General features: G+C 37.5%; 1 long non-coding RNA gene and 1 pseudogene across 2 annotated transcripts in view; both read left to right on the forward strand.

Moving 5' to 3' along the window:
* Window positions 1-25719, forward strand: part of LOC105374039 (uncharacterized) — a 177487-nt gene that overhangs the window by 110893 nt on the left and 40875 nt on the right. Inside the window, exons 3-4 of one of the 2 annotated variants that reach the window (XR_007096275.1) lie at window positions 2843-2940; window positions 3334-5746. The exons of the other annotated variant lie outside the window; for it this stretch is intronic. This is a non-coding gene — a long non-coding RNA (uncharacterized LOC105374039). Of the gene's footprint in view, window positions 1-2842; window positions 2941-3333; window positions 5747-25719 lie in introns of those variants that run through there. 2 annotated transcript variants of the gene reach the window in all.
* Window positions 3336-3718, forward strand: ATP6V0CP2 (ATPase H+ transporting V0 subunit c pseudogene 2; annotated as a pseudogene).

A 25719-nucleotide genomic window follows, 5' to 3' on the forward strand; every position in this document is an offset into this window, starting at 1 on the left:
GAAGCTCCCTCTTTCTGAGAGCTGGGAAAACCCACTGACCCCACCAGCCTTTGCAATCCGTCATATAGTTGTGATTCAATGTCAATTTGTCAGCTATTAAATTCTGTCTATTCAGGTAGTGATATGATGTGACAGTACAAAGTTCACTAGCTCAGAAGTTGTTCTGGGTTTGAGATTCCCTTGAGTCCAAAACTAGCTATTTGACCAAAGTTCTCAAAATACTTCATGCTATTTTGCTCTTTTGTGACATTGCACACACTATTTTCTCTACTTAGATCCCCTTTCTTCCTTTATTTATCTGGGAATGTTACACTCATCTTTCAAGCTTCAGCTCAAATATCTATATTGTTGAGACTTTCCCAAGCACTCTGCTCCTTTCCCACTGCTGAAAGGCTGTATATGTAGAGGAAGAAAGGAAATTTTAAAAATATGGAGTTCTAAACTTATCAGGAACCTTAGAGATCATTTAATCAAAATTTCTAAACTTTTTGATGCAGAACAGAAATTAGGACCCAGGTTTCCTTACTTCTAATCCAAGGCTGTCTTCCTCACACTAGGTTGTGGCTGTATCAAATTGTGAGTTTAATATTCTATATGCAGAGAAGATGCATATGGTTTGTGGCCCCAGGACCCCCCAATATTGCAGTGTGTAGAACAACAACTGCTCTTGATAGCGAGGTTGAGATGAGCATTCCACTTTGTGTTTCTGAACTGAGGCATATTAATGGAGCAGACTGAATGTTAGAATAATATTATAAAAAAAAGGGCAGCATAACCTGCCTGCCCAAGAATATGCACATCACTGAAAAATGAGGGAAAAGCAATAGGACCAATGAGGAGAGAGATAGTTCCATAAGAAAAATGATGACAAATTGATCTTTTGAATTAACACATAAAGGAAGGATCTCTAGCACACTGGTTCCTCTATAGCTAGCAGTTAAATGTCTACCTGTAGTTAGAAAAAGTATTCACTGGACAGTAAAGTGACCAGTAATGTTTGAGAAAATAAAAAGCTGTTTAAAAGGAATAATAGCTTCAAACAGGCAGTAAAAAGTTCAGAGAACTCATCAACAAAACAAAAGCAAGCAACTTGCTAAAGACAATTCATTCTAAATGTATCTTTGTCTCCAGAGGGCAAAATATTGAGAGCAAATTCTCCAACAATTGAATTTATGGTAATGGAATGTAAGCACATCAGCCCACCAGGACAAAGCACTCAACAAATAGGAGAACAGGAAAAAAATAACTGTGCCCTTCAGAAATGCATTTTTTAACTTTAGGTAACAGGAGTTGAGAGATTTCTTGATGAAAAATGCCTGAAGTCTGCTATCGCATTAGCCTTTATGGTTGAGAATTAGAGGATTCACTAAAAGCACCCAGAGATCAAAGCAGAAGGTGAATGCCCTGAGTCTAATAGAGTGTCAGACACATGAGGAGAAGCAAAGGCACGTTTTCTGTGAATGCCAAGTGCATGTTCCATAGGATAAAAGGAGGACAGCTGTTTGTTATCCCCTGATGCGGTTATCTTGACAAACTTTTTTTGGCAGTTGTTTCATCTTTACTGCATAAGATAAAAATAGTAATATCTGTTAGGGCTGTACAGTTTTTTAAATGCCTCAACTTACATGACTTTTAATAGTCTGTGCTCACAGTTACCTTGTGAGTTAATGCATTTTTATTGTCTGAGCTGATCTGTAGCAAGTCATAACCCCTTCTAATTTGTCCCCAGCTGTCACCCACTTCCATGGGATCCTAGCCCTGTTCCTTCCTGTTAAGCTAAGGCCTGACTTGGTCTCTGACCCTTAACTCTTCACTCCCCTTTTCTGACCTGCCTCTGCTCTTTGAACTTTTAAAAATGCTCATGGCTCACAGCCAAACACTCCAAAGATTTGAAATCAGCGATCTAATTCTTTATGCTTTTCATGCCTCTTCTCCCAGGAAATTCTTTCCTAAACCCCACCAGTGGGTGGGAAATAAACCCTAGTAATTCCATGATTGGGCAATATTCTAGCTGGGCTTATATTTTAGGTAAGGAAACCAAATGTGTTTATTTAAAATCAAGATCACATACCTCATAAATAGATGAGTTACAAACCAAATTAAGCCTATCTTCAATCATCAAGAGGCTAGCCATTGGCCATCTTTTTTTCTTCTTTTTACTCACCCTCCATGTGTCACTCAATAACAAATTCTATTTCAGTGTAATTAACTGTACCTCTTCTAAAGAATTCAAGACTGGAGCTGTCTCCTACTTATTAACTTTGTAGTTGTAGAGACAGTGCCATGGGTTGGGTTGCTTTGGCTTGGTACAAGTTAATGTAAAGATAAGACAGAGTTATATAGTAAATCTACTAATACACATGACTTCTGATAAATTCTCTAAAAGGAATTCAGTTGGTGGCAATAAGGATTAAGTCACTAGAATGTAGGATGCATAATTATCACCACTTCTAGAGAAGCAATTAAGACACATGTCCTTAGATATCTGGATTTTAGTGTCTTTGAGACATGCCAAGAAGAGTATATTTCCTAGATATCTCATTGATGAAGCCTAAATGTGATACCTAGAATAGATGCAGTCACTGTAGTTGTGGATGTTAGCTATGACTAGTACTCTGAAAATCTTAAGTTTGGTCTAAAACCTGGACCCAAGTTGTCTTTACAGTGTATAACATAGACTAAATATATTTTTTATTTTTATTTCCCTTTCTGTTAGGTACTTTGAGAAGCTGCCTTTTCTATTAATTAGTTTGTAATACTAACAAAATTGTGGATGTATTTGATTTCAGCATCTCCTCATCTTCCTTTGTCAGTTCCCTGCTCTAATTTGCCTTCACCCCAGTTTCCCAGGTGACAACCTCCCTCCTGCTGTCCATGGCTGTGCAGTCTCCTGTGATGGACCTTCCTGATGATGCTCACTCTCTTAGGGCAATATCCCAGGTGCTGGACTTTTCTTACCTATAAATAAAAAAGAAACCTTCCATTGTCCCATTTCCTTTGGCTCTCTGTTAGGCAATGTTAAACTAATTGATTCATTTAAGAGTCTAGAGTTCATTATAAGTAAATGTGGGGATATATTCTTTCTAGGGAAACTAATATTTCAACGGGAAAATTCCAAAAGCATGACATCTTAAACAAATTAATGATGCAAATGTCAAGCCCTCTGGCAAGTGGTTGGATCAATGGGATCCTTCTCTTGCCCAAAATACAGACACTCTGCCTAATTATAAGGCAGGTCATGATTTTGACCAACAAATCTGTTTCTAATGCTTCATTTAATGTGGAGATTTTAAGGTAAGAGTAAGTGCACTGATTTAAATTTTATTTTCATAGGACCTCCAGCGGGGTACCGGCCTGAGTGTGGGCCTGAGCAGCCTGGCAGCCGGCTGTGCCATCATCTTCGTAGGGGGTGCCAGTGTGCGGGGCATCGCCTAGCAGCCCCGACTATTTGTGGGCATGATTCTGATACTCGTCTTTGCCGAGGTGCTCGGCCTCTATGGTCTCATCATGGCCCTAATCCTCTCCACAAAGTAGCCCCTCTCTGAGCCCACCAGCCACAGAATATGATGTAAAGACCACCCCTCCTCATTCCAGAACGAACAGCCTCACACACACACACACACACACACACACACACACACACACACCCCGGGCAGCCGCCCCAAGTAGCTGGTCTTGTACATTCACCATACCCCAAGTACCCATCTTCTGCTGCCCCAGCCTTGCTCTCAGTCTCCCGGTGCCGCGGACATCTGGGCCCACTCATCACCCCGCCAGGTCCCCGGCTGCCTCATCCTCCTAGAGTGCTCTGTATATGCGAATGAATTAGAGTTGTCATTTCTCTTCACTGGATGTTTATTTATAAAGATCTGGCCTGTTCCCGCATCTGGGGAGTCGCCCTCATCTCCCAGGTATCTAGAATGTTAGCTAGAGTGTCCCTTACGGCTTCCCGTTACAGAGACTTCCTGGGTGGATCCGCTCTCACCAGCCCTTGCCTCTGCGCAGAGCTGTGGGCAGTAAACTTCTTGGATGTGAGAAAAAACAAAAACAAAAAATTAGAGAATCTCTTTTATCTTCCCTAGGAGTAACTGCAATTTAATTGTTCTTTCTCAGTTGTGTGTACATAAATGTGTATATGTGCTTATGGCTGTGTGTACAAAATATACCTTTATAAAACCACACATTTCCCCAGCACTCCAAAGAGAATCAGTGTCCAATTTAATTGCTGTCCTAGATGTGTGTTCTCTCAACAACTGTCTGGAAATGGTAACCATGACACGTTACTGCTCCACATTAATGGTAATCTGTCTACTGGCTTTTTTGATCAGTCTAATTGTTACCGGAAAGGGGTCCCAATCTAGACCCCAAGAGAGGATTCTTGGATCTCGCTCAAGAAAGAATTCTAGGCGAGTCCATGGAGTAAAGTGAAAGCAGGTTTATTAAGACTGTAAAGGAGTAAAAGAATGGCTACTCCATAAGCAGAGGAGCCCCAAGAGCTGCTGGCTGCCCATTTTCATGGTTATTTATTGATTATATGCTAAACAAAAGATGGATTATTCATGCTTCCCCTTTTTAGACCCATATAGGGTAACTTCCTGACATTGCCATGGCATTTGTAAACTGTCGTGGCGCTGGTGGGCGTGTAGCAGTAAGGATGACCAGAAGTCACTCTTGTTGCCATCTTGGTTTTGGTGGGTTTTGGCCAGCTTCTTTACTTGCAACCTGTTTTATCAGCAAGGTCTTTATGACCTGTATCTTGTGCTGACCTCCTATCTTATCCTGTGACTTAGAATGCCTTAAACTCCTGAGAATGCAGCCAAGCAGGTCTCAGTCTTATTTCACCCAGCCCCTATTCAAGATGGAGTTGCTCTGGTTCAAATGCCTCTGACATAATTATCTGTGGTTAGCTGTCTATATTAGTCCCTAAACTTCACCCTCTTCCATTACCAACTCTGAACTGACCTCTAACTGCACAGAGTGATAAGTCCTGCGTCAGGTAAAAGACTGAAGCTCCTCTGTATTAAAAAGTGTCCTCTTTGGAAAATCAGGAACTACTGCAGAGCTATTGAAAGAAAAGCTATGGTGTTCTGAACTTAAAATTCCCTCCCTAAAATTGCTATGAGCTCTAATTTCAGTCTCTTTCCTACTCTGATCCCTTATATAGAGCAGAAGATGGCCAGAGACTAGCTACTAGTCTTACTTAGTCACTCTTCATTGATCAATTGTATCATTAGTTGATGCATTCATTCATTCACCCATCAAAAACAGATTTTGGATGCCTCCTGCAGCCCAGATACTACTTTGGATCTCAGAATATAGCAAGAAAATGTAATGATCCTACCTTAATAAGGAGCTCACAGTTTAGTTGGAGGAGACAGATGAAGAAATCAATAATTATACGCAGGATGATGAATGTTAATGATAGAGATATGAATACAGTAACAAGGAAACACAAAGAAGGGGAAAAGTTGGGAAGTGGTACTAAAGCAGAGAGCTGAGTCTTTAAAGATAAATAAATTGGTCAGGCAAATAAGGGAGAAAAAGACATTTTGAACATAGAAAATAGCAGGGCAAAAGTGAGGAAGCATGACAGAACAAAATATTCTTGAGAAGCTGCAATGGGGAGTGTGTGTGCCCGTGTTTGTATATGTATGTGTATCTTGTGTATCTTTCAGGGGAAGTTGGGAAGGATTGATCAGTGATAAAATTTAAAAAGTGATCCAGGGTTTCATCATGATGGGTATGTGTTGCATATTAAACAACTTTAACTTTGCCTTGAAAACTAGGATGACGCTTAGGATGATTTTAAGCAAGAAAGTGATGGATTCGCATTTACATAGCTTATATAACAGTTTATGGCTTCACCCTTCTATGTACCACCTATATCCTCACAAAGCCTTAAAGCCATGAGCAAAAAGAGGTCAAGGTCCTGAGAGGCTTCTCAGACCATAAGCAAGACCAAAAGGATTAGGTTGCATTAAGCAAATTAATACTAGCATCTATGGTTTAATCTCATTGAAATTTTATAAATTTCATACAAAGCCAAGATTAAATTAAATTATATGCAGAAAAATATCCTAAATCAGATATCAGCTCTAGGGTTATTGAACTATTTTCCATCTCATTTTAGAATTTAATTGAAGAAAACATATTCTGTGTGGTACACCACTTAATTTCTATTAATAATAACACCCTTTTGGAGATGTCCTTAGCTGACTTAGCATTGTCTCCCAAAAGCAGAAAGATAAATAACAAGTGGATTATTCATCAAGTGACATTGCTTTTGTCTGGAAACATATCCCATTGCTGTTGGAGGTTTTAAAAATAGTTAAAAGTCCTAAATTGCCTGAGTTGCAGTTTTCTCAGAGGAATATATAATAAATCATCCTCCAAGCCAGACTGTATAAACAAATAGTTTCTGTTCTAAAAAGGGCTTGCTCTGAGGTCCAGAGAGTCAAAACAATTTTCAGGGAAACTCACATAATATTGTCAGCTTTTATAAATTATCTCTTGAACTTTAGTATTTTAAAAAAGCAATCTTTAGACCCAAGCAGTGGCATCTATTGTTGTGTTAGTCTGTTCTTGCATTGCTATAAAGAAATACCTGAGGCTGGGTAGTTTATAAAGAAAAGAGATTTAACTGGCTCACGGTTCTGCAGGCTGTACAGGAAGTATGGTGACAGCATTTGCTCGGCTTCTGGTGAGGCCTCAGGGAGCTTTTACTCATGGCAGAGGGTGCAGAAGGTGAAGCAAAGAAGGCGTAGACATGTCACATGGTAAGAGATGGAATAAGAGGGAGGGGTTGGGGGGGGCAAGACAGGGGATGGTGGGGAGGTCTCAGACTCTTTTAAACAACCAGATTTTGTGTGAACTAACAGAGCGAGAACTCACGGATCACCAAGAGGATGGTGCTAAGCCATTTGTGAGGGATCTGCTCCCAAGATACAATACTTCCTACTAGGCCTCGCCTTCAGCATTGGCAGTCACATTTCAACATGAGATTTGGAGGAGACAAACATTCAAACCACATCAACTGTGGTCTGTACTTCTTACCTACACATACCAGGGGTGACTTATAAGGCAAAATAATCAGCATTTCATGCAACCAATCCCTGAAAGACAGAAGGTGGCTAATTTAATTCCTACGGGCTGAGCACATCCACAAATATAGACACTTGGCCCTAGCATGGAGAGGTGATGAGAAACTTCTTTAATACTAAATAAAGCAGGAAGCCACCATTGGATATTTCAAGGGCTATAAGTTTACAAGAAATCTGACAGATTTTGATCTGTAAGTTAGAAGCTGAACCACAGAGATTTAAGTCAGAATGAGTAATGCCAGGAGATGAAGATGGTCAAGAACTTAGCACTGACGACACTTAGCTCTTATTTACTGCAATTCCCATGTCACTGCAAAATTTTAGTATCATTGTGATGATGACCAGATCACATCTTGTGCTTTTCCCAGAGAGGCTACTGATGTAGTAACCCCTTTAAGCTGATATTTTTCTAAATCATAGTTCAGTATTTGTTTATAGAGATATCTCAGGTGTGTTGAAGGAAGGAAAGGAAAAGAAGGTCCCATTGTCAGTTCCAGATTCTGTCTTCCACTCGGAAGAACAGAAGGCTGAAGTTAACCTGCTTGACCTTCCTTAGACAGCATTTTAGGTACCATCTGTTGATAGTTGAGCATATCCTTTCAGGGTCTATTCCTCCATCTGAAGTGGCTTATGAAAATGCTGCTTGAAAACACATGCAGACTCACTTCCCGTCTCTCTTTATCCAGGAGTTCTGACAAATAAATTTTCTTCATCTCTTAACATTTTATGTGACATTTTAGTGGTCCAGTCAATTGCCCAGTTGATCTGGCTCTGGTCATAATTGAATGCCATCTATCTGAAGAAACACTACACACAGTCAATGCAGCTTGCTGCTTTATAGCATATTTATAGTTTACCAAGCTTATTCAAATAAATTTACTCATTCACATACCTTTCCGAAATAAGAGAGAGAGAGAGAGAACAACATGCCCAAAGTCATACAGCTCATAAATGGCAGAGCTTGAAACTCAAACTCAGGTCTTCTAACTGTAAATTTCCTAATTCATCCACTAAAGCATACTTCTAGATTGAGCCTTATGGAACACTTTGTGCCCAGTGGTCATTGTAACGGGAGAAAAAAAAAAAGATAACCTTTACCTTCAGATAGGTATGATATAAGTGAAGGAGTACTTACAATCTAGTTCCACAGGCATGGGATCTTTGATGATGTTGCAAAATGTACTGGTCTAAAATAGACCCTATACAATAAATTATATTTATCCTACAGTGTGGCAGAACAGATTTTGAGTGCTCACAACACAAAGAAATGATAAATATTTGAGGTGATGGATATGCCTATTACCCTGGTTTGATCATAACACATTGTATACATGTATCAAAATGTCCCCCTGTATCCCATATATGTGTACAATTATCACGTGTCAACAAAAATAAAAGGAAAAAAATAGACCCTATAATAATAATTGTCATTAGGCAATAGATAGATACTGCTGTTGATAAGTAAAGTAAATACTAAGATACTGATGAATAGAGTAGTGAAGACTGACAAGTAAAGTAAATGATTCCCGGAGTAAACTGGATGATATGCAGGCTCCTTTAACCCCTGTGTGTCTCTTGACAATAGTGGAAATTTTTGTAACTAATTGGTTATTTAATAATGTGACAAAGCTGAATGTTTCACTGTGTCGCGAGCAATTTGGCACATTGAACTAAAGGAAACCTTATTCATAGTTAACAAGAGTACAACCTCTAAGTCTTTTTAAAGTCACATTTATTTACACCTAGTTTTTTTTCTTTAAAAAGACAGGAAACTTCAAATAGAGTAATATTTGTAAAGTTAACAAAAAGTTTGAAGTATATATTTTTTACACATTAGTTTTATCACTTTCATGTACTCATAGTATCCAGAGCTAGGTTAATATAAAGTTCATAATTAGTATATTAAAGTAAAAACCTAGAACAGCTTAACTTTTATCAGTTCTAGAGGAAAATGTGCTTATTGGGCACTTAGTAAAGAGCCCTGGAGATTTTATATATGTGTGTATATATATATATATACACACACACACACACACACACACACACACACACATATATATACACACACATATATATACACATATATATATATACACACATATATATGTATATGAGGCCCTGCTCTCAAGACATTTAAGGAGTGGCTTCATTGTGTGAATATGGAAGTTAATACGGTGGCAGGCTTAAAATGCTTATGGCAGCTCTCCCACTTCCTATTAAAATATTCATAAAAATATAAAAGCTTTTTTTTAAGCTGGCAACATCACTGTAAATCCAAGATAACAGAAGACCATATGCCAAATCTGGGTGGAATTTCAACTAATTGCATCAGCCGTGTGGATAAAATCAAGAAGTACATTCTTGAGCTGCACAACACATGCTCTAATCTCTGAACCAGAACAGGCCAGACGGACCCAGTAAAGTTGGGGAAAAGCTTTTATTCACCTTCTCTGTAAGTGCCTAACTCTGAAACAGTGAAGATGTACTGACTAAACAAACAAGTACCCATTCTGTAACTTCAGAGGAACCAAATAAAGCCAAGGTTTTACCCTCTCCACATTTATTCCTATTATACTGTTTTTATTATCATCATTTCAAAATGGTAATTTCCAGAAGGTGGCACAGAAGAAAGTACATAGGAATGAGAAGAGACTCATTGAAATATATCATATTTAATCCTCCAAACCTAGGCAGAGACAAGAAGACTGTTAGAAGCACAAGTAGAAAGCGATAGTATTTCATGTAATTCCACTGTTTAAAAAATTATAAATTGCATCATACCCTTTTGTTTAGTGATAGAATCTGACAGAGCAAGAAAAGATCCAGAAAACTTGCACTAAACACCTGCATTCTAACAAGGACAGAGACCAAACTTAAAGTTTGTTTAAGAAAGATAATTTTTCAGACCCCCAGAAGTAGATGGTGGAGACCTAGAACATAGCACCAATCCTTCTTGATGCAAATTCTAAAATTTAGCTGATTAAAATGTCCCCTGTCAGCAACCAGAAGAAACGCCAACATTAGGCCCATAAAAAATGCAGCAATAAAGAGAGTATTGTGAAGATTTACAAGGAAAAAACTCTTAATATGATTTTCTGTAATAAACCGAGGAAAATTTTGTTTTCATTTGCTTTGGATTTATTTTGTCTTTGCTTTGAATCTTCAAAATATTGTGAAAGGAGAGTACTCCCAGTTTCAAAATGTCAGTAAAAGATTGTGGTTTCTCCTTTCCATTCTTAGATATCACACAAAACTCAAAGAAAATAAACAATAAGAGTACTATCTCCATTTTCAACAAAACCAAGAAACAACTATAACTTACCAAAATTTCTGAGAAAGAGCTACTCAGTAAAGTCCAGCAGACTCATGAAAGAAATGTAGAACATATGCTTATGTCTATAAATATCAGACAAACCTGTCAGAGCACAGATCTCCAAAATAAGCAGACTCCTAACTAATGAGCCCTGGTTTGAATTAATGAGAATAATATTGCTTGGTAGCAATCACTTCTCTAGACTCATTTTGCTACAATATCTCAAGCAACAGGTAAATCAAGGATAGGTAAGAAATAAAACAGAGAGGCCATGTTTGCTGAAAGATATTTGTCAGCAAGGCAGGGAATAAAAGATTTTGCATATTGTGAGTCACACTGCCAGGTTAATTCAGTGTGTTAGGAAAAGTAAAGGCAAAAAAAGTCAAACACACACACACACACCCACACACACACTTCTGGGTCATAAGGAGAATTTCCACAAGCTTAAAACATAGTCTTTATTCTCAGCCCATAGGAAGCTTCAAAGTGAATTCCAAGTCTAAGAAGTCCTAACTTCACTCAAATATGAATTGTAATAAAATAAAAAAAACTAACACAGAACTATGACAAAGGTACTACAAATAAACAAAGGAAAGAAATATAGAAATAACTAACAGATAAAATATACTCATTCTAAAAATTTTTGATGGAGCACATAATATTGCAGGCAAGAGAATTTTCATAAAAATAAAGATTAAAATAATCAGAACCTTAATTACCTTTTAAAAATTCTCTCTAAAATAAGAAGGAAGATATGAGAAAGCAACAAAAGAAGTCACAAAAACTAACTTAAACTATAACAGAAATAAAGGACAAATTAGGAGCAGAAATTGGAAACTGGCAAACACAGTAAAGGATGCAAATGATAGGCTTGAGGAAAGAAGCAAAATAAAATAAAAACAAATAAAATGAAAAATGTTATTTACACTGTTGGTGGGAATGTAAATTAGTTCAACCATTGTGGAAGACAGTATGGTGATTCCTCAACGATCTAGAACTAGAAATACAATTTACAATAGCAAAGTCATGGAACTAACCCAAATGCCCATCAATGAAAGACTGGATAAAGAAAATGTGGTACAAATACACCATGGAACACTATGCAGCCATAAAAAGGAATGAAATCAAGTCCTTTGCAGGGACATGGATGAAGCTGGAAGCCATCATCCTCAGCAAACTAACACAGGAAGAGAAAACCAAACACCACATGCTCTCACTCATAAGTGGGAGTTGAACAATGAGAACACATGGACACAGGCAGGGGAACAACACACACCAGGGCCTGTCGTAGGGGCGGGGAGTGAGGGGAGGGAACTTAGAGGACAGGTCAATAGGTGCAGAAAACCACCATGGCACACGTATACCTATGTAACAAACCTGCACATTCTGCACATGTATCCCGAAACTTTAAGTAAAATAAAAAAAAATTTTTTTGAAAGAAAAGTGTTAGAAAGAACATTATATGGACATCAGGCAAAGAAAACCCAACATAATTATAATTGATGTCTTCCTCTGTTCCCTCTTTCTCCACCCCACCCCCCCCAAAAAAAAAGATCTGAAATAATAGGACGAAAAATATTTTAAAATTTTTGTAGTTTTGGCTTTTTTCAAGATGACTGACTACGGACATCGGATGTCAGTTCTCCTCAGAAAGATCAAAGTTACTGGTGAATGAACAAGTTCTGAACAGAAAACTGAGGAAAGAGGGCAGGTGTGGTGGCTCACGCCTATAATCCCAGCACTTTGGGAGGCTGAGGCAGGTGAATCATTTGAGGTCAGGAGTTTGAGACCAGCCTGACCAACATGGTGAAACACTGTCTCTACTAAAAATACAAAAATTAGCCAGGCTTGGTGGTGCACATCTGTAATCCCAGCTACTTGGGAGGCTGAGGCAGGAGAATAGCTTGAACCCAGGAGGTAGTGAGCCAAGATTGCACACTGGACTCCAGCCTGGGAGACGGAGCAAGACTCTGTCAAAAAAAAAAAAAACAAAAAAAAAAAACAGAAAATTGAGGGAAGAGAATCAAGATCTGTTGGAGTGCCCTCAGGAAGAAACTAAGGTGCAAAAATGGAAATCAGAAAGAATCAGAAAGAATCTAGTAGAGATTGACCCCAAAGGAACTAAGACCCCCACAGAAAGGGTCGATGGAAGTGTTCCCTGCTTCCCTTACCCCTCTGACAATCTGCTTACTGCCAAACTGCTAAAGAGACCCTCTGCCCTCATGGCCTAAGACATTGCTATCACTGGTAATTGGGGAAATTTCTGGGGACAGAGAACCAGGTAGCCAACCTAAGAAAATGTACACACGCTCTCCTCAGAGCCAAGCTGAGAAGGTGGGCACCATACTGGCTGTACATCCAATGTGGGCCACTGCCCTGCCAGGGATTCTCTGCCTTTGAGTCAGCACACCACCAGATGCTCTGCAAACATACTCCACAGCCCACTCTGATATTGGCAAGCATAGGGGACTGGTGGGTCCTCAGTTACCTGGAGATCTAACCCTCAGAGTGGGTCTCTTCTAAGGGAAGGCAGGCAAGACTACTAAATCCCCTTTGGGACAAAAGAAATGGCCAACACCAATTGCGGAAGGGGCCAGTATCTATGTCTAGGAAGGGACATGGAAGAGGGAGTCATCTACCACCTTCACAGCACACTGTTGTGAATGCAACAGTGGTTCTTCATGCTGAGGGTCAGCATGTTTGCACTCAGAGAAAAAATTTTTTATGTTTTTCCTAGTGGCTACACTGCTAGTGAAAGTGAGTCCATGCCACTTGGGCTTAAAAAAAGAGCAGGGCCCAACTCTCCCTCCCTACACAGAGCAGTAGAATCTGGCAACAGAAGACAGAAAAGTTATGGAGTTGCCTTCTCTGGACTAGAGTAAGAGGTTCTACCATAAGCCGATTTTGGTGGTAGCCATCAGAGGGTCATATTTGCAGCCCACAATGGTACTGCACCATGAAACCAAAGGACAAAGTCTTTATGAACTGAAGTCATGAGCGTGCAACAGGGGTGTGATAGATAATCAGAGAACATTCCTGCCAGCTCAGGGTGAGATGCTGGTGCACCCCACACCCCTTTTCCAAGACCTCAGTGCAACCCAACATGATCCCTTTCCCCTAAGGTCCCCTAACAAGGAAGGTGTTTCCACTCAACATTAGCCTACCTGAGGGCAAACTTAAGCAGTGTCTACTTGTCTGCATACTGAACTGCATCACCAAATAAAAATCCTAGTGCCAGAAGGACTTTAGTGCAAATCCACAAGATAAGCTCCCTGAGACCCCTGTACCCTAAGTCCCACCAGAGATAGTGTGTTGGCTCTTATGTCCAATACATTGCTACAACAAGCACCATCTGAGAAAGCCACCAAACAGAAATTATCCACAACCAAGGAACCCATACAGAGCCTTGGTTCCTGGAAAACACCCAGAAGTAAAGCCAAACAATCATAGACAACATACACAATAGTTATACACTCAAGAGAGAAAAGAGTTTAAAAATAATAAAGTCTCATCCAAACAATAACAAATTCAAAAATATGAAGTGACAGCTCCCTCAGATGAGAAGGAATCAGCACAAGAACACCAGTAATACAAAAAGCCAGAGTGACTTAAAGGATTGCACTAGTTCTCTAAAAGTGGATCCTAACCAAATTGAAAAGTCTGAAATAACATATAAATAATTCAAAATATGGATTGCAAGGAAACTCAATGAGATCTGAGAGAAAGTTGAAATTCAATACAAAGAAACCAAAAACATGATTCAGGATATGAAAGATGAGACAGCTATATTAAGAAAAAAACAAATAGAACTTCTGGAATTGAAAATTTCACAAATGGAATTTCAAAATACCATTGGAAGCTTTAAGAATAGGCTAGATGAAGCAGAAGAAAGAATTTCAGTTTAAAGATTGGTCTTTTGAATTTACCTAGTCAGACAAAGATAAAGAAAAAAGAATTTTACAAAACAAATAAGGCCTTTGAGAAATATGAGATTACACAAAGCAAAAAACCTATGACTTATTGGCACTCCTGAGACAGAAGAAAAAGTAAGCAACTTGGAAAACATATTTGAGGGAATAATTCAGGAATATTTTCCTAATCTTGCAAAAGAGGTCAATATCCTGACACAAGAAACTCAGAGAACACCTGCAAGATACTATACAAGATGACCAACCCTAAGGCATATAGTCATCAGACTATCCAAAGTCAATGCGAAAGAAAAAATCATAAGGGAAGCTAGAGAAAAGGGCCAAGTTGCCTGTAAAGAAAATTCCATCAGACTAACAGCAGACTTCTCAGCAGAAACCTTACAAGCCAGAGAGATTGGGGACTTACTGGTACCATTCCTTCTGAAACTATTCCAATCAATAGAAAAACAGGGAATCCTCCCTAACTCATTTTATGAGGCCAGCATCATCCTGATACCAAAGCTGGGCAGAGACACACCAGAAAAGAGAATTTTAGACCACTATCCTTGATGAACATTGATGCAAAAATCCTCAATAAAATACTGGCAAACCAAATCCAGCAGCACATCAAAAAGCTTATCCACCATGATCAAGTGGGCTTCATCCCTGGGATGCAAGGCTGGTTCAATATACACAAATCAATAAATGTAATCCAGCATATAAACAGAACCAAAGACAAAAACCACATGATTATCTCAATAGATGCAGAAAAGGCCTTTGACAAAATTCAACAACGCTTCATGCTAAAAACTCTCAATAAATTAGGTATTGATGGGACATATCTCAAAATAATAAGAGCTATCTATGACAAACCCACAGCCAATATCATACTGAATGGGCAAAAACAGGAAGCATTCCCTTTGAAAACTGGCACAAGACAGGGAGGCCCTCTCTCACCACTCCCATTCAACATAGTGTTAGAAGTTCTGGCCAGGGCAATTAGGCAGAAGAAGGAAATAAAGGGTATTCAATCAGGAAAAGAGGAAGTCAAATTGTCCCTGTTTGCAGATGACACGATTGTATATCTAGAAAACCCTATTGTCTCAGCCCAAAATCTCCTTAAGCTGATAAGCAACTTCAGTAAAGTCTCAGGATACAAAATCAATGTACAAAAATCACAAGCATTCTCAAGCATTCTTATACACCATAACAGACAAACAGAGAGCCAAATCATGAGTGAACTCCCATTCACAATTGCTTCAAAGAGAATAAAATACCTAGGAATCAAACTTACAAGGGACGTGAAGGACCTCTTCAAGGAGAACTACAAACCACTGCTCAAGGAAATAAAAGAGGATACAAACAAATGGAAGAACATTCCATGCTCATGGGTAGGAAGAATCAGTATCGTGAAAATGGCCATACTGCCCAAGGTAATTTATAGATTCAATGCCATCCCCATCAAGCTACCAATGACTTTCTTCACAGAATTGGAAAAAACTACTTTAAAGTTCATATGGAACCAAAATAGAGCCCGCATCGCCAAGTCAATCCTAAACCAAAAGAACAAAGCTGGAGGCATCACGCTACCTGACTTCCAACTATACTACAAGGCTACAGCAACCAAAACAGCATGGTACTGGTACCAAAACAGAGATATAGATCAATGGAACAGAACAGAGCCCTCAGAAATAATGCCGCATATCTACAACTATCTGATCTTTGACAAACCTGAGAAAAATAAGCAATGGGGAAAGGATTCTCTACTTCATAAATGGTGCTGGGAAACTGGCTAGCTATATGTAGAAAGCTGAAACTGGATCCCTTCCTTACACCTTATACAAAAATTAATTCAAGATGGATTAAAGACTTAAACGTTAGACCTAAAACCATAAAAACCCTAGAAGAAAACCTAGGCATTACCATTCAGGACATAGGCATGGGCAAGGACTTCATGTCTAAAACACCAAAAGCAATGGCAACAAAAGACAAAATTCACAAATGGGATCTAATTAAACTAAAGAGCTTCTGCACAGCAAAAGAAACTACCATCAGAGTGAACAGGCAACCTACAAAATGGGAGAAAATTTTCGCAACCTACTCATCTGACAAAGGGCTAATATCCAGAATCTACAATGAACTCAAACAAATTTACAAGAAAAAAACAAACAACCCCATCAAAAAGTGGGCGAAGGACATGAACAGACACTTCTCAAAAGAAGACATTTATGCAGCCAAAAAACACATGAAAAAATGCTCACCATCACTGGCCATCAGAGACATGCAAATCAAAACCACAGTGAGATACCATCTCACACCAGTTAGAATGGCAATCATTAAAAAGTCAGGAAACAACAGGTGCTGGAGAGGATGTGGAGAAATAGGAACACTTTTACACTGTTGGTGGGAGTGTAAACTAGTTCAACCATTGTGGAAGTCAGTGTGGCGATTCCTCAGGGATCTAGAACTAGAAATACCATTTGACCCAGCCATCCCATTACTGGGTATATACCCAAAGGACTATAAACCATGCTGCTATAAAGACACATGCACACGTATGTTTATTGCGGCACTGTTCACAATAGCAAAGACTTGGAACCAACCCAAATGTCCAACAATGATAGACTGGATTAAGAAAATGTGGCACATATACACCATGGAATACTATGCAGCCATAAAAAATGATGAGTTCATGTCCTTTGTAGGGACATGGATGAAATTGGAAATCATCATTCTCAGTAAACTATCGCAAGGACAAAAAACCAAACACTGCATGTTCTCACTCATAGGTGGGAATTGAACAATGAGAACACATGGACACAGGAAGGGGAACATCACACTCTGGGGACTGTTGTGGGGTGGGGGGAGGGGGGAGGGATAGCATTAGGAGATATACCTAATGCTAAATGACGAGTTAATGGGTGCAGCACACTAGCATGGCACATGTATACATATGTAACTAACCTGCACATTGTGCACATGTACCCTAAAACTTAAAGTATAATAATAATAAAATAAAAAAAAGAAAAAGGAATGCCAGTCCTCTCAAATTAAGCTTCAAAAATGGAAAAATAAAATTGTTTCCAGACAAGCAAACACTAAGAGACTTCATCGCCACCAAACCTCTTCTGCAAGAAATGCTCAAAGGGGTTCTAAACATGGAAACAAGAGAACAATATTTGCTACCATGAAAGCACATGTATAAGCTCACGGATCTTATAAAATAATTACACAACAGAGACTACAAAACAACTAACTAACAACACTACGTCAGGAACAAAACCTTCATATCAATATTAACTTTGAATGTAAACAGCCTAAATGCTCAACTTAAAAGAACTAAAGAGACAAATTGGATAAAAAAAATAATAATAATAAAGACCCAATCTTCTGCTGCCTTCAGTAGACCCATCTCAAATGTTATGACACCTACAGACTCAAAATAAAGGGATAGAGAAAGATCTATTATGCAAATGGAAAAAAGCAGGGGCTGCTATTCTTCTATCAGATAAAACAGACTTTAAGCCAACAATAGTAAAAAACAGAAACAAAAAACAAAGAAAGGCATAATATAATGATAAAGGGTTTAAATCAACCAGAATATTTAAATATCATAAATATATATATATGCACCAAACATTGGAGCACCCAGGTCCATGAAACAAATACTACTAGACCTAAGAAAAGAGATAGAAAGCCATACAATAATAGTGGGGGGACTTCAGCACTGGACAGATCATTGAGGCAGAAAACTGAACATCTCTGGACTTAAATTGGACTCTTGACCCAATGGATCTAGGAGACATCTACAGAATATGCCCCTTAACAGCCACAGAATATACATTTTTCTTATCTGTGCATGAAACATTCTTTAAAATTGACCACATAGTCTAAAGCAAGTCTCAATGAATTGAAAAAAAATTGAAATCATATCAATCATCTTCTCAGACCACAGTGGAATAAAATTAGAAACCAATACCAACAGAAACTCTCAAAACCACACAAGTTCATGGAAACTAAAAAATTTTTCCTGAATGACTTTTGGGCAAACAATGAAATTAAGGAAGAATATTGCTATTCACAATAGCAAAGACATGGAATCAACCAAGATGTCCATCAATGGTGGACTGGATTTTTAAAATTTAGTACATATACACCATGGAATTATACACAGCCATTAAAAAAGAATCAAATCATGTTCTTTCCAACAACATGGATGTAGCTGGTGGCCATTATCCTAAGTGAATTAACATAAAAATAAAATCAAATACTGTATGATGTCACTTATAAGTAAGACTTAAACAATGGTTGCACAGGTACATAAAGATGAAAACAATTGACACTGAGGACCCAAAAATGGGGAGAGAAGGAGGGTAAGGTTTGAAAAACTACCTATTGGATACTATGCTCACTACTTTGATGATGGGTTAATTAGAAGCCCAAACCCCCACATTATGCAATATACCCATGGAAAAAAACTTGCACATGTAACCCCTGAATCTATAATTTTAAAATAAATAATAAAAATATTCATAATTTTGCCAATTTTTAAATAAAACCATTCATTTTTAGCTTGTAAGGGCACACTTCATCATGGAAACAGTGCTTACTCACTTATCAACACTAAGAAATATATTCTGTTAAAACTATCACCTTCAAAGGTAAGAAAAGGAGACTGAATTTAAAGCTAATAATTTGTATGAGAAAAAATATTAATTTCAGACTTTTTCATAGCAACTTTTAACTCTAAATGTTGCTATCAAATTCTTAAGGAAAGAAAGTTTTGTCCAAGGATTTCATACCTACCTAATCTTTTATTAAGATGTAAGGGTAAATGACAAGTCATTTGGAATATTCTAGGTCTGAGATCCCTTGAGCCAGACTTACAAATGCTTGACTACATAAGGAAAACTTCAGCCAAACAAATACAAATGTTGAAGGTGTGACAATGAGCATTTAAATCATTTAGCTATAGATCTGAACCTTAAGCAAATATAAAGAAATAATCCAGAACAGAATATAGAGTTTATATGCCCAGAAAATGTAAAAATTAAGAATCTAATGAATAAATTAGAAAAAGGAATTTCCAAAAATCCACCAAAAAACAAAGAACAATAAACTAAACCTAACTAAATAACTAGGAATTAATAAGATCAAAATCAGACATTGGTAACACTAATAAAGACAAGAGCTGACTCTGTAATAATAATGAAAATAGCAATAATAAAATAGAAAAATTCATAGGTTACTAAGTCATGAAAACTGGGAGATAGGACAGATTTTTTTAATAACTAAAAGGATTATTTTATTAGTTTTAAGAGAATACATTTTAGGATAAAACACGTGATTTTTCTAGGAAATCATGAATATCCAACACTGACCTAAATAACAGAAAATACAACCAGATCAATTACTATAGAAGAAATATGTGAAGATGTTATAGACCTAATTTTTAAAAATGCACTAGTTCTCATGTAGTATCACAAGGAAATTCTACTAAAGCTCTAATGCAAGTATAATTTTAATTGCTGTTTAAAATGTTCACCAAGATAGAATAAAAAGGAAATCTACTAAATTAATTTTATAAAATGAGTATATAACATTGATATTTAAACCACAGGTAACAAAAAAAATAAGAAAGAAAAAACAAGATATTTACAAAAGAAAAGAACCAGATGAACCTTAAACTTCTTTGACATTGAGCACCAGAAAATCATAAAGCAACAGAAAATCTTGTGACCCAATAATTTGAGTTAGAAAATGTTGTCATTCAGGTGTGAAGGTAACAGAAAAGCAATATTTTAGATATACAAAGGTTTGTAAAATAAATAACCTACTCACTGTGCCGGAGAAATCTGTTTTTAAACGTTTTAACTAAGGAAAATAAAATAAATAATTAAAAAATGGGGAAAATAATGGTATAAAAAGATTATGAACACTGAAGCTAATTACATTATATATACATGATATAAATGATATATAAATCATATATAATGCAATTATGTGTGTGTATGTATAAGTCTGATGCCAAATAGCCATGTGCCAATTTATTTATTTAAACAATAAATATGACAATAAATAAAAATTTAATACAGAGATGTGGGGATGAGGGGGGAGCAACTTCTGTAAAGCCACTGAATCAAAAGGAAGCCAAGGATACAATTACAGACTTTTGAGTTCCTGTAGGACGATTGCAGTTTCTTAAATATCCCTATACATTATCAAAAAAGCATGTAGGTCCACATGAAGAGTAAGTAAAACCATCCACCATAAATTCTTACAGCATAACTAGAAGACAATGTAATGCATCAAATGACATGTGTATAGGGTAATAAATATTGCAAAATATTCCAACGGCAGCTTATGCATGGAAAAGCGTAATGTAAACGTGAGACTAGCTTAGCAGAACATAGATAAAATTACCCCCGATAAGGATCCCATCCTTAGTGGGAACACACTTAGAACAGGTCTTAGAACATAGCTTCTGAGTAATCCAAGGGAAATGGCTTAAAGGGTGAAAGATAACTTTTGGAATTCTTGGTAAGATATAATTTCTGGGGGAAAGGAGGCAATCTAGAAAGGAGAGGCATTCTTTGAAGGCTTAGTGATAAAGGGAAAGAAGGAAGTCAGCAATGGAAATTAAAGGTCCTACAGAAACAAAAGAATCCAGAGATTTACAAAAACATAGTTGTTCCTCTGCCTCAAAACAATTCCATCAATTTAAAAAAAATTGCATTAACAAATCAACAGAAGAATGCTCTCTTGAAGCAAGAAACCTAGTAAATAGTAAACCTCCCAAACACTTCACCCCTTCACATTAAGGCCGGTTAGAAAAAAATAATACATATTTGCCTAAGAACTTAAAATGGCCCACACCGGATTCCCTTATACATACTGCTAGTTGCCACATGCTGTCTCTCTCTCTCTCTCTCTCTCTCTCTCTCTCTCTCTCTGCCATTCACTAGGAATGAATGAAAAACGTGTGGCAATAGCCATAAAAACTGCTACAAGACGAAACAAAAACAAAAAAACAAACAAAAAATAACAAAAAAAAAAACTATGAGAACAAAAACGTTTCTACTGATGAAACTTCTCCCCTACTAAAACTAACTACAAAGCAGAGATCTGTGTAGTAAATTCTTGTAATTTTATGTTACCTTGGCATCCATTTTGTAGAAGCAGGGCTGTCACTCTTTACAGTTTCCTGTTCACTGCACCCAAATGGCTCAAGCCATGGCCAGAGATAGGAACCAGAGATAGATAGGCCAGAGATAGGTGGCCAGAGATAGTGTTACCAGCAGGTCTTTGTTCTTAGAGCTCCCAAGATGGTGGTGGGCCACTCCCAAGATGGGGCCGGCTGCTCCCAAGATGGCAGCAAGCCTTTTGTTCTCTGACGTGGGGTTCTTGGCCTCAGGGATTCCAAGGAATGGAACCTTGGGCCATGCGGTAAGTGTTATAGCTCTATTAGAAGCTGTGGGTCACGGAAGAGAACCATGGAACCCAGAGACTAGTGTTCAGCCTAATTAGGATGAACCCGGGCACTTCCCGGTGCAGGAACAATGGCGAGCCTCTAGCCTGATTGGGAGCAGCAATGAGCACCTCGCTGAATCAGAAGCTCAGTGGACACCCTGCCAAATCCAGAGGGATGAAAGTCAACGGCAGGTCTGCGACTGTGGCGTTCAGCCATGGTGGATGGAGAGCGAAAGCTCAGTTTGAGCCGGCAGAAACACGGACCAGAAGAATGTGCAGTTGCAAGATTTAATAGAATGAAAACAGAGCTCACATACAATGGGAGGGGACCCAGAGGGGGTTGCCCCTGCTGGCACAAAGGCCTGGATTTATTTTCCGATCATTGTCTCTCCCCGGTGCTCTCAGGCAGTAGATGATTTGACTATTTCTTTACCTCCTGCTTTTACCCTAATTGGTATTTTAGTGAGCACTATTTACTACCTGATGGGTCCGGTGTGAGCTGAGTTACAAGCCCCGCGTTTAAAGGTGGGTGTGGTAACCTTCCCCAGCTGGGCTTAGGAATTCTTAGTCGACTTAGGAAATCCAGCTAGTCCTGTCTCTCAATAGGACTACCCACTCTTCCGCTGTTTCCTTTTAAGTGAATCTGTCAGATATTTGCCTAAGAACTTAAAATAACCCACACTGTATTCCCTTATACATACAACTATTTGCCACATGCCCTGTCTCTCTGCCTGACTCCTTCATTTCTGCCTCACATGACCCTAGGACAGAGGACTGCCATCCCACCTTCCTTGCCCAAGATTTGTAAGTACAATCTTTTAATTGTTTCCTTTTGTGCTGGAGTATTGAATTCCCACCTTCCATCTGAAGAATCAGGGGCTACGCCAGGCCTATCTTTCCCTGACATGGGACGGGGAAGCACAAAGTTGAGCTCCCAGAACCAGAGCAATGGTCAGGCAGGCATAAACTGAACACAGGTCAGACAAGAGCCAAAAGGGCATCTGCCAGTATAAACAAGTTTCCTGTGTGAGAAATCTTCCTGGTCACAGGTTAGACAACTAGACACTAGGCTGTCTGCCAGGTAAAAGATGTGTCCCGTGAAAGACACCTTGTAAACAACCATATCCAGCTCCCCTTCATTTCCCCTTAGCTATCCACACAGGTGCTGGAACCCCAATTTAACTGGAGGCTCTGAAAACAATCTGTAACATAACACCCCATCTTGAATTAAATATTTTAAACAAATATTTTGCAAAAAGAAAAAATGTTAAATCAGAAAAGCAGAATTAAATAAAGTAATATACGAAAAAAAGATAGTCCCCAGGAGGGAAATTAAAGAAAAAGGCAAAAACATCTTATGTAGGAAGAATAATTTCAAAGTACTCAAGAGAAAATTGATTTCTCTCAAAGCAGAAGTTTAAAAATATATGAAAAATTCCAAGAAAATGAAAACAAAATAAATAAGGTGAAAACCATCAGAGAGAAAGAAGACTGGGCATTATCATTTGGGTTTCTGGCAAGAAAAACAAAAACAATGAAATGAGAGAAATCACATATTTAATCACATATTAAACCACAATCCAATAAAACTTTGTATAAATAAAAGAAAACTTGGATATATTTGTGTACCTAAGAAGACTAACCCAGAATGGTCAATTGTAATATATAGACATACATCTAAGACACAGTATAATAGGCCTATTAGACATTAAATATATACAAGCAATCTTCTGGGCATCCAAGCAAAAAAGGCCAAATCACTTACAAAGGAAATAAGATCATAAAACAGCATACAAAGCAAGAAAACTGTGCAAGAACAGTTTTAAGAAACTCAAAAAAGGAAAATATGAGCCCAGAGTGTTATATGTAGGCAGACTGTTTTTAAAGTACCAAGCCTATAGGGAAACAGTTTGATACAGATGGAAACTCAGAAAATATTCATGAACTCTTCCTAAGACATTTATGAGATACAATTAAAACAGTGACTATAGGAAAATACATAGCTCTACATACTTATGATACTTAGATAAATAAAAATAAATGAATTAAATTCCCAACTCAGAAAAGTAGGTAGGGGATGGGGGAAGCAGAAGAAAAATTTTTTAAAATATAGAAGTAGAAATTAATAAAACAGCAAGCAAAAATATAACAAAATTGATAAATCAATCAAAATGCTTGTTCTTGAGGAAAAATTAATAAACTAGATAAACTACCACCTAATCTAACTCAGAAAAAAAAGGAGAAAGCACAGATATATGAATTTAAAAATGTTATGGGGGAAATAACCTTGAAACAAAGTAAATTTTAAAAGATTCTTACAGACTATTTTGTTTGACTCTATACAAATATATTTGAAAAATTAAATAATTGGATAGCATCCTTGAAAAATGCAATGTACTAAAATTCACCTTAGTAGAGATAAAAGGCTTAAAACAATTTTTCACAGGAAAAATCAATGTAATAACAATTACCCCAAAGAAACAGAAAATCAAGGTCAAGATATAGTAACAGGGACATTTGAACATCTTTGCACCTGAACATAGAAAAAGAGAAATTCTAAATTACTTTAATTAAACACATATAATATTGATGTCTAAATCATATATAAAAAGAAAACTTATAAACCAGTCTCATTTTGAATATTAATGCCAAAAATCAAAATAAAATATCAGCACATTCCAATAGTATATTAATAAAATATACTATGATCAAATGTGATTTAGTCCAAGATGTTTTAATATTAGAAAATCTCTTAATATTGTTCACTACCATTAATGCCTAATGAAAAATAATATATGACTATTTCTATAGATAATAAAAAGAACTTTGACAAAATTCATCACCCATTCCTACTAAAAAATATACACTCAGTAAAATAAAAATTGATTCTTTTTTAACACTAAATACATATGTCAGTTCTAAAGCCATATTTCCACTTAGAAGAGACACTTCAGTGGTTGTCTAACTAAAGTCAAGAATAAGTTAAAGATGCCCACTATTTCTTCCATCTTTTAACAATGTATTACAGGTATTAGTAATTAAAATTAGATAAGATAAATGATTAGAGACATGAAAGACGGAAAATAAAGAATCAAAACTATATCATTTTGGAAAAGCAAAGATAAAATAACTACAAAACTCAAAAGAATTATTGATAAAACTAACACAAATAATAAGGTAGGAAGATATAAAATTAATATATGCTAATAAAGAGCCTTCAGATATACCAGTAATAACTAGTTAAAAGATGCAATCCTATAACGGAAGAAAAACCCATTTTATTTTAGCAACAATTTAAAAATAAAATACTTAAGAATAAGCTTTAAAAGAAATAAGCATCGTGATTCCAATTCTGGTATGGTGGCATAAGTCTTCTATAGCCTGCTACTGCAGCTGAATACAACTAGAAACCCTGGATAAAATATGAAAAACGAATTAGGGCCCCAAAGCTAAACAAAAGCAAAAAGATTGTGGAGGGAAATTAAAACTTGAAGAAGGGACCATACAAAGTGAGTTTCCCAGTTTGCTTTCTGCCTCCTATGTTAGGCTTTTCCGTTTCACAGACCCTAGTTGCCAAGCTGCAAAGTGATTAGGGCAGAGCGCTGAAACTCCGACAACCTTATTTTTCTGGTTAGAGGAATCAGGAAAAAGAAACCATGGGGGCTGGAGCATAAGGAAGAAAATCCCAGATCAGAAAGATTTACAGAAGGCATCCCCTAATTATGCATATAAACCTACAGATCTCTGGCTCACCTCTGAGTTACACACGTGTGGGACAGACCCAAATCAGCACAGCAAAACCTTCAGAGCTCAACTGATATGTGAACAACAACTAAGAGAAAGTGAGACAGTACTTGGGGTCTGACCCTAAATGAGTTGACCGCCTGCTTAAACAAGTTACCAAATTCATCAGAGGAACATACAGGTC

The sequence above is a fragment of the Homo sapiens genome, chromosome 3 (genome assembly GCF_000001405.40).
Source record: "Homo sapiens chromosome 3, GRCh38.p14 Primary Assembly".
Classification (NCBI taxonomy): Eukaryota; Metazoa; Chordata; class Mammalia; order Primates; family Hominidae; genus Homo; species Homo sapiens.